Source organism: Homo sapiens, chromosome 11 (assembly GCF_000001405.40).
Source record: "Homo sapiens chromosome 11, GRCh38.p14 Primary Assembly".
NCBI classification, from domain to species: Eukaryota; Metazoa; Chordata; class Mammalia; order Primates; family Hominidae; genus Homo; species Homo sapiens.
In genome coordinates this window covers 74,214,683-74,227,503 of record NC_000011.10, presented here as the reverse complement: position 1 = coordinate 74,227,503, position 12,821 = coordinate 74,214,683, and the positions used below count along the sequence as shown (strand labels likewise).

The 12,821-nt window shown below is 36.2% G+C and overlaps 1 protein-coding gene across 4 annotated transcripts in view; it reads right to left on the bottom strand.

Annotated features, from left to right (window-relative positions):
• Nucleotides 1–12,821, bottom strand: part of PPME1 (protein phosphatase methylesterase 1) — an 83,415-nt gene that overhangs the window by 27,200 nt on the left and 43,394 nt on the right. For all 4 annotated transcript variants that reach the window (NM_001271593.2, NM_016147.3, XM_047427116.1 and 1 more), the window contains exons 4-5: nucleotides 5,135–5,192; nucleotides 2,248–2,299 (exon numbers count right to left, since the gene is read on the bottom strand). In NM_001271593.2, the coding sequence (NP_001258522.1) occupies nucleotides 2,248–2,299; nucleotides 5,135–5,192 (110 nt within the window). The remainder of the gene's footprint in view (nucleotides 1–2,247; nucleotides 2,300–5,134; nucleotides 5,193–12,821) is intronic.

Genomic DNA, 12,821 nt, shown 5'->3' with positions numbered 1-12,821 from the left:
AGTATGCCCATTTTGAGGTTTTTTTTTTTCCACAGTAACTGAATTCAGAAATCACACAAATGTTTTACTGCTTGGATAATTTCAGCAAGAATCCAATTTGTTCGCCCTTTTGATTCTTGGTCATCATCTACTGTGGATGATTTTTACCATTAAAAAATTTTTTTGGTGCCAGTTATCAACTTACTACCTCAACTCCAATTCATCCTTCATTGCCTACTCTACAAAAATAGATGTGAGGCCTGTAAATATTTTACCCTTGCCAGTAGGCATGATATTAAGCTATGTTAATGGAGGGTGCTAGAGAAACACAGAACTTCCCCCAGTATCCAACTCCTGCCAATTCCTGCACAATTCCTCCAGCACAAGTGGCTTCTCCAGTACTCTAGCCCTCCCCAACCCAGTGTTTTTGTAGCCAAGTGCCTCTGGTGAGATCCTCCCCACGAATAGCTTTCCCTATACCCTAGAGGGCAGAATTCTGTCAGGTTCCAAAAGGGCAGATTTTCAGCAAGTTCTAACCTTCAGTAAACCATGGTCGTGCATTCTCCAACAAGGTCTGGATCTCAACCCTGGGTGTACTCCCTCAGCCCAAGGGAGTAGTGGCTGCTCCTTATATCTGCTATTCCTATATTATTAAGAGTTTTTGTTACTTCTTACTACCAATCGCTCATTCCAATCCCCTGTTATAGTGAATAATTCTTTATATTCAACTTTACTTATTCAAATTACTACATGGTTTCTCTTTCCTGATGAGCCCCAGACTGAAACATTATTATTTAGTCCATGTTTCCTTAAGGTTCTCAATCAATTCTTCAATTTCCTCTAGAATGTCAACCAAGCTATCATCATCAATTTGTCTGACTGCCTGGACACTCAGATGATGTATTTCACTTTTTTGTTAAAAGTTAAGAAACCCTTTACTTCCTTAAAAATCATTCACAAATCTTCCTATAGGTATCACTAACAGCCTTGACTGTTTGAGGATATATTGCTCTCATATTAATGAAGGCAGTAGGAATAATTGGAGGAACAGATTCTTACCTCTCTTTTCATACTTTTTAAGGCATATGTTCATTGAGTGGAATGACATTCATACTATACACATTATTTCTTTCTCTCTCTCTCTGCCAAGGACTATAGTTGAATGATCATAAATTCAATCTACTGACTGTGTGACTTCATACAGTTATTCAACCTATATGAGCCAGTTTCCTCATCTGTAAAAGGGTATATCTGTATTACAGAGTTAATAATGAGGATTAATTTCAATAAATGATTACACAAAATAAGTTAATGATTTATTATTAATAAATGCTTAGTTTATACTTTAATGAAAGTTGGCAGATAAAAAGTACACAAATAACACCTACCATAATAATAAAACAATTATCTCCAGGTAGACAGTGAAAAAATAATAATATTAAAATTGTTGCCTACATCAGTTTGGGCTCTGAAGGAAAATGTTTATTCTTAAATTAAAGCTGCTAAAGTAAAAGAGGGCAAGATATTTTTGGCCAAAGTGACCAAATACCTGAGAGAGTACGTATTAAAGCAGAGTGGCTAGAAGAATCCTATTTATGCTATAGGTCAGTGATTCCCAAACAACAGTCATTGAACTGGCTCCATCAGATTCCTACACAGAGCTTTACCAAAATATAAATGCCCAGACTCCACTGCTAGAAGTAGGTCTGGGGTAGGGTCAAGTCATCTGTATGTCTAGTAACTTCTCAAGTGATTCTGATGAGTGAGCAGTTTTAAGAGCCACTGTACATGTTACATTCATTTTTTACTTTAGGCCCAGGGTGTAACTGTCATTTTTTAATATCATGATCTCATCTTTCTATGACATAAGACGAAGAATGTACGCAGGATACCTGAAGGAGATACTCTCAAGGCCTCTTGCATACAACTACTTTTCCAAGCGTGAGTCCATGATAAGTACCCAGATTCAACGCAATTCCATCAACAGAAGAAAACTTTTCAAAAGCCTTCACAAACTAAACTGTGCCTTGAAGAATTTTCATGTGCTTTATATGATGACCATTGCATTGGACACACCAAGAAAGACGCAGGTTTCTTTCAAGATTAAATAGTAAGGAGAAACCAGAAGTAGAGGAGAGAGAACAGAAGTAAAATTTTCCTTGTGGTAATTATTCCCCAACAATCTCATCAGGAAAGTGATAAAGTTATAGTACTATTTATAATAGTGATGGGAGACAGGCAATGTATAAGAAATATTTGGTTACTTACTTTGCCATTGTTTCTGCAGACAGATCTTCAGGATTCTTGACCTTTGTTTCACCTAAAATGAAAATATTTTAAAAATAAAATTCCCACAGACAGGAATTATAAAAGCAGAAGTATTCTCTTTTAAAAATATCATCTTTGGACAATGGATTAGGGACTTCACAATTTTACACAATGAGTTTAGCAAGGATTTTCTTCAGAAAAATCTTTATAGTTATCCTAAGAAGGATAATTACAGTAGCCTAGCAAAGATTTATCCACATTCCTTATACATCAGCATAAGAATTTGAAGTTCTGGCCAGGGCAATTAGGCAGGAGAAGGAAATAAAGGGTATTCAATTAGGAAAAGAGGAAGTCAAATTGTCCCTGTTTGCAGACGACATGATTGTATATCTAGAAAACCCCATTGTCTCAGCCCAAAATCTCCTTAAGCTGATAAGCAACTTCAGCAAAGTCTCAGGATACAAAATCAATGTACAAAAATCACAAGCATTCTTATACACCAATAACAGACAAACAGAGAACCAAATCATGAGTGAACTCCCATTCACAATTGCTTCAAAGAGAATAAAATACCTAGGAATCCAACTTACAAGGGATGTGAAGGACCTCTTCAAGGAGAACTACAAACCACTGCTCAAGGAAATAAAAGAGGATACAAACAAATGGAAGAACATTCCATGCCCATGGGTAGGAAGAATCAATATCGTGAAAATGGCCATACTGCCCAAGGTAATTTACAGATTCAATGCCATCCCCATCAAGCTACCAATGACTTTCTTCACAGAATTGGAAAAAACTACTTTAAAGTTCATATGGAACCAAAAAAGAGCCCGCATCGCCAAGTCAATCCTAAGCCAAAAGAACAAAGCTGGAGGCATCACACTACCTGACTTCAAACTATACTACAAGGCTACAGTAACCAAAACAGCATGGTACTGGTACCAAAACAGAGATATAGATCAATGGAACAGAACAGAGCCCTCAGAAATATCGCCACATATCTACAACTATCTGATCTTTGACAAACCTGAGAAAAACAAGCAATGGGGAAAGGATTCCCTATTTAATAAATGGTGCTGGGAAAACTGGCTAGCCATATGTAGAAAGCTGACACTGGATCCCTTCCTTACACCTTATACAAAAATCAATTCAAGATGGATTAAAGACTTAAATGTTAGACCTAAAACCATAAAAACCCTAGAAGAAAACCTAGGCATCACCATTCAGGACATAGGCATGGACAAGGACTTAATGTCTAAAACACCAAAAGCAATGGCAACAAAAGACAAAATTGACAAATGGGATCTAATTAAACTAAAGAGCTTCTGCACAGCAAAAGAAACTACCATCAGAGTGAACAGGCAACCTACAAAATGGGAGAAAATTTTCGCAACTTACTCATCTGACAAAGGGCTAATATCCAGAATCTACAATGAACTCAAACAAATTTACAAGAAAAAAACAAACAACCCCATCAAAAAGTGGGCGAAGGACATGAACAGACACTTCTCAAAAGAAGACATTTATGCAGCCAAAAAACACATGAAAAAATGCTCATCATCACTGGCCATCAGAGAAATGCAAATCAAAACCACAATGAGATACCATCTCACACCAGTTAGAATGGCAATCATTAAAAAGTCAGGAAACAACAGGTGCTGGAGAGGATGTGGAGAAATAGGAACACTTTTACACTGTTGGTGGGACTGTAAACTAGTTCAACCATTGCGGAAGTCAGTGTGGCGATTCCTCAGGGATCTAGAACTAGAAATACCATTTGACCCAGCCATCCCACTACTGGGTATATACCCAAAGGACTATAAATCTTGCTGCTATAAAGACACAGGCACACGTATGTTTATTGCGGCATTATTCACAATAGCAAAGACTTGGAACCAACCCAAATGTCCAAGAATGATAGACTGGATTAAGAAAATGTGGCACATATACACCATGGAATACTATGCAGCCATAAAAAATGATGAGTTCATGTCCTTTGTAGGGACATGGATGAAATTGGAAATCATCATTCTCAGTAAACTATCGCAAGCACAAAAAACCAAACACCGCATATTCTCACTCATAGGTGGGAACTGAACAATGAGATCACATGGACACAGGAAGGGGAATATCACACTCTGGGGACTGTGGTGGGGTGGGGGAAGGGGGGAGGGATAGCATTGGGAGATATACCTAATGCTAGATGACGAGTTGGTGGGTGCAGCGCACCAGCATGGCACATGTATACATATGTAACTAACCTGCACAATGTGCACATGTACCCTAAAACTTAAAAGTATAATAAAAAAAAATTAAAAAAAAAAAGAATTTGACTTTAAAGGACATTTTCTTAGCTTAACACACATAAAATACAAAAATAAATATTATACATAAAACTTTAATATATATACACACACATACATTTGTAAAGACTAGAAGCTAGGACTTCCTTCAAAATGCCCAAATCGAGCTGGGCGCAGTGGCTCACACCTGTGATGCTAGCACTCTGGGAGGCTGAGGTGGATGGATCACTTGAGGTCAAGAGTTTGATATCAGCCTGGCCAACATGGTGAAACCCGGTCTCTACTAAAAATACAAAAATTAGCTGGGCATGGTGGCGCATACCTGTAATCCCAGCTACTGGGGAGACTGAGGCAGGATAATTGCTTGAACCCAGGAGGCAGAGGTTGCAGTGAGCTGAGATTGTGCCACTGCACCCCAGCCTGGGCGACAGAATGAGACTCCATCTCCAACGACAACAACAAAAAGCTCAAATGGAATAGACCAGGTTATTTTATGGCCACGTTGAAATTTCTAATAGTTACAACTATTCAAAGGGGCTTGATGACTATAATCCAGTTAATGGCTAATTAAGAACTTTACTCACCATGACTTCGCAGATCCAAAGCTACAATCCTACACTGAACTCTACTAATAATCGCTGCCTAGGAGAAAAAGGAAAAGTAGTTAAGACACATCTAGGATAACAAATTTCACCCAATTCCCAATGATAACTTTGTAAAATGAACTGCCATCAAAATTCAAAGGACCCAAGAGAATCAAAAGACTTTCTAGTTTTAAGCAAAATGAAAGAATGATGATTTTCTACTAGTTTTGCCATATATTGTGGTTCTGTCCCAACTTCAAAATATGGCTTTCTCTACCTAAATCCCTCTTTCAATCTTAATTCTTCCTATCCTTTCTTGACACACACAGTTAAGAGCCTTTAGACAATGACCCTCTGAGCTCTGGTTTTCATCTATATTCCTTGGATATCTTTTCCTTACTCTGGAGAGAGAATCCCTTAGATAAGGACGGTGAGTCAGTTTATATCTTGGCTCAGGACATCACAGAAACATGACAATCAAATCATGAAATTTGCTGAAAGTAGCAGAAGTCATGGAATCTACTAAAGATTCACTTAAGACAGATACTGCAGAACATACCAGCTTGTGTACCTATTAAAAATTTATTGAAAAAAATCATAATATCATGGGGGAGGTACAATTTTAGAGGGTGAAAAAAATCTGAAATAATTGGGGATCTTCTTCCTAAACTAAACTGGATTCTTTGACAATAATATATCACAATTAGGGCTAGCAAATGTCACCAAATTTTAACTTTTAAGAATAAAATAAGAGAACTGTCTAGTCTAGCCGTCACATTTTATGAATGAGAAAACTGAGGCCAAGAGAAAGAAAATTATTTGCCCAGGGTCACATAACAAATTAGGAGTAAAAACAGAACTAGACCCAAGGTAAGTTACCAATATAAAAGTCAACGTAAATCACAAAACAAGTCAGATTCTTAAGTCATATTTTTAAAATCCCCTAGAAAATCAAGTCTGATTCTATTTCTATTATTCTAATGAATACCTTTTAAAGGCAACAATGGAATGAAATTCTACTATACTTTGCTGTTTGTTCCTGAAAGCTATTTGCTAATTTACAGGAGTTATTTAGTGACAGTAAAGCCTTCAATGACAAAAACAAATCCCTATGTTAGAAATAAAATTAAGTGGAAAAGATAGTATGAATTTGCTTGATTGCTCTAGATAATAGAACCAGGTTTACAAAACAGAAACAAAATATATATTTGAAATTCCAACCTTTAACTTGAAAGCAATGATTTACAATCATAGGTGCCTGTCAGAAAATCACTACAAATATTAAAAACAAAATTTTCATTTATTTATTTAACAAATCTTTCTAATAAAAATCTGGCACCAATGGAGTAATTGGGTTACAGGAGGGAAAAATACTGGCAATACTCCTGCTCTCATGATATCTACATTCTACTATGGTGGAAGAAGACTAGAAAAAAATAAATGAGCAAAGTAAATTCACAGACTAACACATGCTTTAAAGATAATCAAAAAGTCAGAGCAGATCTATGGTAGCTACTCCAGATCTTGTCACAAATAGTACAACTTTGCTACTTCTGAAATGGATGAGTGGAAAGCAGCTATTTAAGAACTAGACTTAACCAACCATTTTCTCACTAGAATATTATGGTGTTTAGCAATAACTGCAACAATAGCAGTAGGAGCTAATGTCTACTAAATCTATGTGCCAGTCAGCAATCTAAGTGCTTCAGATGAATTACCTAACTTTCTCCTCACAACTCTTTACTACTTAGACATAATTTTCAGCATTTTACAGATAAGGGCATTTTACAGAGAGATTAAGTAACTTGCCCAAGGCTAAATAGCTAATAAGTGACAGAGCCAATTTTCAAATCCAAGCTGCCTGGTTCCAGGTGGTTTTCAACCCTGGCTACATAACAGAATCAATCACCTAAATACTACTGCCCAGGGGCAAACCCACCAGAAATTCTGATTCAAGTTATTTACACATTTTCGACTTCTCCAGGTGATTCTAATGTATACCCAAAATGAAGGCCCACTATCCTAACCCGAGACTAGAGAACAGAGACAAGATTGGAAGAACTGGGTAGTAATAATATGCTTCTGTATCACTTTATAATTTCACCAGATTATCTCAGATAATCTCATATTATCTTCTTAAGAAGTCGGCTGGGAAAATATTAGCACAGTTTTTTTGGCGAACAAAACAGGTTCTTAGAGGTTTATCAGGTATTGGTGAAAGTGTGGAGAAATAGGTATCCCCACAAATATATGATATCCTCAAACTTAATTTTGGCTAATTTGATAAGTAAAAAATGGTATTGTTTTTTAAAAAATTTGGTGGGTACATAGTAAGGGTATACATTTGTGGAGTACATTAGATATTCTGATACAGGCAAACAATGCATAACCATCACATCGGGCAAATGAGGTAGCCATCACTTTAAGCATTTATCCTTTCTTCGTGTTGAAAACAATCTAACTATACCCTTTTAGCTATTTTAAAATACACAGTAAACTATTGTTGACTGTAGTCACCCTGTTGTGCCATCAAATACAAGATCTTATTCATTCTATTTAAATATTTTTGTACTCATTAACCATCCCCAATTATCCTCCACCTCCCACCTCCCTCTCCCCATCCACTACTGTTCCCAGCCTCTGGTAACCATCCTTCTACTCTCCATGAGTTCAATTGTTTTAATTTTTAGCTCCCATAAGTAAGTGAGAACATGTGAATTTTTTCTGTGCCTGGCTTATTTCACTTACCGTAATGACCTCCAGTTCCATCCATGTTGTTGCAAATGACAGAGATCTCAGTCTTTTTTATAACCAAATAGTACTCCTTTGTGTATATGTACCACATTTTCCTTATCCATTCATCTACTGATAGACACTGGTTGCTTCCAAATCTTGGCTATTGTAAATAGTGCTGTAATAAACATGGGAGTGTAATATCTCTTCGATGTACTGATTTCCTTTCCTTTGGCTATATACATAGTAGCGGGATTGCTGCATTATACGGTAGTTCTATTTTTAGTTTTTTTTTTTTTTTTAAGGAATCAACAAACTGTTCTCCATAGTGGCTTTACTAATTTACATTCTCACCAACAGTGTATGAAGGTTCCCTTTCCTCCACATCCTCACCAGCATTTGTTATTGCCTGTCTTTTGCATAAAAGCCATTTTAACTGGGGTGAGATGATACCTCATTATAGTTTTCATTTCCATTTCTCTGGTGATCAGTGATGTTGAGCACCTTTTCATATGCGTGTCTGCCATATGAATATATTCCTTTGAGAAATATCTATTCAGATCTTTTGCCCATTTTAAAATTAGATTATTAGATTTTTTCCTATAGAGTTGTTGAGCTCCTTATATATTCTGGTTATTAATCCCTTGTCAGATGGATAGTTTGCAAATATTTTCTCCCATTCTGTGGGTTGTTTCTTCACTTTGTTGTTTCCTTTGCTGTGCAGAAGCCTTTTAACTTGACATGATCCCATTTGTCCATTTTTGCTTTGGTTACCTGTGCTTGTTGGGTATTACTCAAAAAAAATCTTTCCACAGTCCAATGTCCTGGAGAGTTTTCTCAATGTTTTCTTTTAGTACTTTCATAGTTTGAGTCTTTAATTCATTTTTATTGATTTTTGTATATGGCAAGAGATAGGGGTTTAGTTTCATTCTTCTGTATATGGATATCCAGTTTTCCCAGCATGATTTATTGAAGAAACTGTCCTTGCCCCAACATGTGTTCTTAGCACCTCTGTTGAAAATGAGTTCACTGTAGATGTATGGATTTGTTTCTGGGTTCTCTATTCTGTTCCATTGGTCTATGTGTCTGTCTTTATAGCAGTACCATGCTGCTCTGGTTGTTATAACCCTGTGGTATAATCTGAAGTCAGGTAATGTTATTCCTCCAGTTTTGTTCTTTTCTATCAGGATAGCTTTGGCTATTCTGGGTCTTCTGTGGTTCTATAGAAATTTCACAATTGTTCCATTTTTTTGAAGAATATCATTGGTATTTTTGATAGGATTGTGTTGCATCTGTAGATTGTTTTGGGTGCTACGGACACTTTAACAATGTTGATTCTTCCAATCCCTGAACATGGAATATCTTTCTCTTTTTCGTGTCCTCTTCAATTTCTTTCATCAGTGTTTTATACATTTCATTGTATTTCACTTCTTTGGTTAATTCCTAGGTATTTTATTTGTAGCTACTGTAAATAGGGTTACTTTCTTGATTTTTCAGATTGTTTGCTGTTGGCATATAAGAATGCTGCTAATTTTTGTACATCAATTTTGTATCCTGTAACTTTATTAAATTGATCAGTTCTAACAGTTTTTTGGTGGAGTCTTTAGGATTTTCTAAATATAAGTTCATATCATCTGCAAAACAGGATAATTTACTTTTTCCTTTCCAATTTGGATGCCCTTTCTTTCTCTTGTCTGATTGCTCTAGCTAAGACTTCCAATAATATGTTGAATAACAGTGATGAAAGTGAGTATCCTTGCCATTTTCCAGATCTTACAAGAAAGGTTTCAACTTTTCATTTATCATCCTTTTAGTATTATACAAGCTGTGGGTCTATTGTATATGGCTTTTATTGTGTTACATTCCTTCTATACTCAGTTTAAGTTTTTTTTTTTTATCATGAAGGGATGTTGAATTTTATCAAATGCTTTTCCAGCATCAATTGAAATGATCATATGGTTTTTGTCCTTCATTCTGTTGATATGATGTATCACACTGATTGATTTGCATATGCTGAACCATCCTCACATCCTAGAATAAATCCCACTTGATCATAATGAATAATCTTTTTCCTTTTTTTTTTTTTTTTTTTTTTGAGACGGAGTCTTGCTGTGTCACCCAGGATAGAGGGCAGCGGCATGATCCTGGCTTACTGCAACCTCCATTTCCCAGGTTCAGGCAATCCTCCCACCTCTGCCTCTTGAGTAGCTGGAATAAGAAGTGCGCGCCACCATGTCTGGCTAATTTTTGTATTTTTAGAAGAGACGGGGTTTCACCATGTTGGCCAGGCTGATCTTGAACTCCTGATCTCAAGTGATCCACCCGCCTCAGCCTCTCAAAGTGCTGGGATTACAGGCACGAGCCACTGTGCCCAGCCTGAATAATCTTTGTAATGTGTTGCTGAATTTGGTTTGCTAGTATTTTGCTGATGATTTCTGCATCAATGTTCATCAGGGATATTGGCCTGTAGTTTTTTTGTTTTTGTCTGTCTGGTTTTGGTATTAGGGTAACTAGCCTCGTAGAAGGAGTCTGAAAGTATTCCCTCCTCCTCTATTTTTCAGAATAGTTTGAGTAGGACTGGTGTTATTTCTTTTTTAAATGTTTGGTAAAATTCAGCAGTGAAGCCATCAGGTCCCATTTTTCTTTACTGGGAGACTTTTATTACAGCTTGGATTTCATTACTTGTTATTGGTCTGTTCAGGTTTTGGATTTCTTCATGGTTCAACCTTCGTAGGTTGTACGTGTCTAGAAATTTATCCATTTCTTCTAGATTTTCCAACTTATTGGCATATAGTTGCTCATAGTATCCTCTAGTAATCCTTTGAATTTCTGCAGTATCAGGTGCAATGTCTCCTTTTTCATCTGATTTTATTTGGGTCTTCTTTCTTTTTTCTTAGTCTAGCTAAAGGTTTGCCAATTTCATGTTTCAAAAACCAACTTTTTATTTTGTTGATCTTTTCTACTTTTTTGTTTTGATTTCATTTATTTCTGCTCTGATCTTTATTTTTCTTGTCTCCTACTAATTTTGCGTTTGGTTTGTTCTTGCTCTTCTAATTCTTTAGGATGCATCGTTGGGTTGGTTATTTGAGAGTTTTCTACATTCTTGATGTAGGCTCTTATAGCTATAAACTTTCCTTTTAGTATGGCTTTCACTGTATCTCACAGGCTTTGGTATGTTGTGTTTCCATTATCATTTGTTGCAAGAAATTTTAAAATTTCCATCTTAATTTCATTGGCCCACTGGTCATTTAGGAGCATAGTGTTTATTTTCTATGTGTTTGTATAGTATCCAAAATTCCTCCTCTTATTGATTACTAGTTTTATTTCATTGTGGTCAGAAAATATACTTGATATAATTTCAGTTTTTTGAATGTTATCCAAGACTTGTTTTGTGACCTAACATGGTCCATCCTTGAGAATGATCCATGTCTTGAGGAGAAGAATGTGTATTCTGCAGCTGTTGGATGAAGTGTTCTGTAGGTAATTATTAAGTCCATTTGATATATAGTGCAGATTACGTAAATTTTTCTATCTCGATTATCTGTCCAACACTGAAAGTGGGGTATTGAAGTCTCCAGCTCTTATTGTATTGGGTGGGGCCCATCTCTCCCTCTTCAGCTCTAATAATATTTGCTTTACCTATTTGGGTGCTCCAGTGTTGGGTGCATATATATGTATAACTGTTATATCCTCTTGCTGAATTGACCCCCTTATCATTATATAATGACTTTTGCCTCTTTTTATAGTTTTTGTCTTGAAATCTATTTTGTCTGATATACATATAGCTACTCCCACTTTTTAGTTTGCATCAGCATGGAATATCTTTGTCCCTCACTTTATTTTCAGTCTATATGTGTCTTTACAGATAAAGAGTGTTTCTAGTAGGCAACAGGTCAGTGGGTCTTGTTTTTGTATTCATTCAGCCACTCCACGTCTTTTGATTGGCGAGTTTAGTCTATTTACATTCAATGTTATTATTAATAAGGACTTATTCCTGCAACTTTGTTTTCTGGTTGTTTTGTGGTCTTCTCTTCTTTCCTGTCTTTCTTTAGTGCAGGTGATTTTCTCTGGTGGTATGTTTAAATATCTTGCTTTTTATTTTTTGTGTATCTGTTGTTATGTTTTTGGTTTGAGTTTGCTTGCAAATAGTATCATAACCCATTATTGTAAAGTGGTGACAATTTAAAACTGATTTCATAAACAAACAAACAAGCATAGAGAAAACCAATAAAAACTCTACATTTTAACTTCAGCACTCCACTTTTTAATTTTTGTTGTCTCTACTTCTTTTCTTTTTTCTAAGACAGGGTCTCAAGTTGCCTAGGCTTGAGTGCAGTGGTGTGATCTCAGCTCACTACAACCACTGCCTCCCAGCTCAAGCAATCCTCCCACATCAGCCTCCCAAGTAGCTGGGTCTACAGGCACACACCACTACACTTAGTCAATTTTTTGTTGTAGAGATGTGGTCTCACCGTGTTGTCCAGGCTGGTCTCAAATTCCTGGGCTCAAGCAATCTGTCCACCTCGGCCTCCCAAAGTGCGGGATTACAGGTGTGAGCCACCATGCCCAACCTATTTATAGCTATTGTTTCTATTTATATATTATTGTACTGTTTATGTCTTGAAAAGTTGTCATAGTTAATATTTTTGATTGGTTCCTCTTTTAGTCTTTCTACTCAAGATATGAGTTGTTTACACACAACAATTACAATGTTATTCTGTGTTTTTCTGTGTACTTATCAATGAGTTTTGTACCTTCAGATGATTTCTTAGTGTTCATTAATGTCCTTTTCTTTCAGATGCAAGAACTACCTTTAGCATTTCTTGTAAGTCTGGTGTTGATGAAATCCTCCAGCTTTTGTGTGTCTGGGAAAGTCTTTATTCTTTTACATGTTTGAAGGATATTTTGACTGGATATACTATTTTAGCATAAAAGTTTTTTTTTTTTTCCCTTC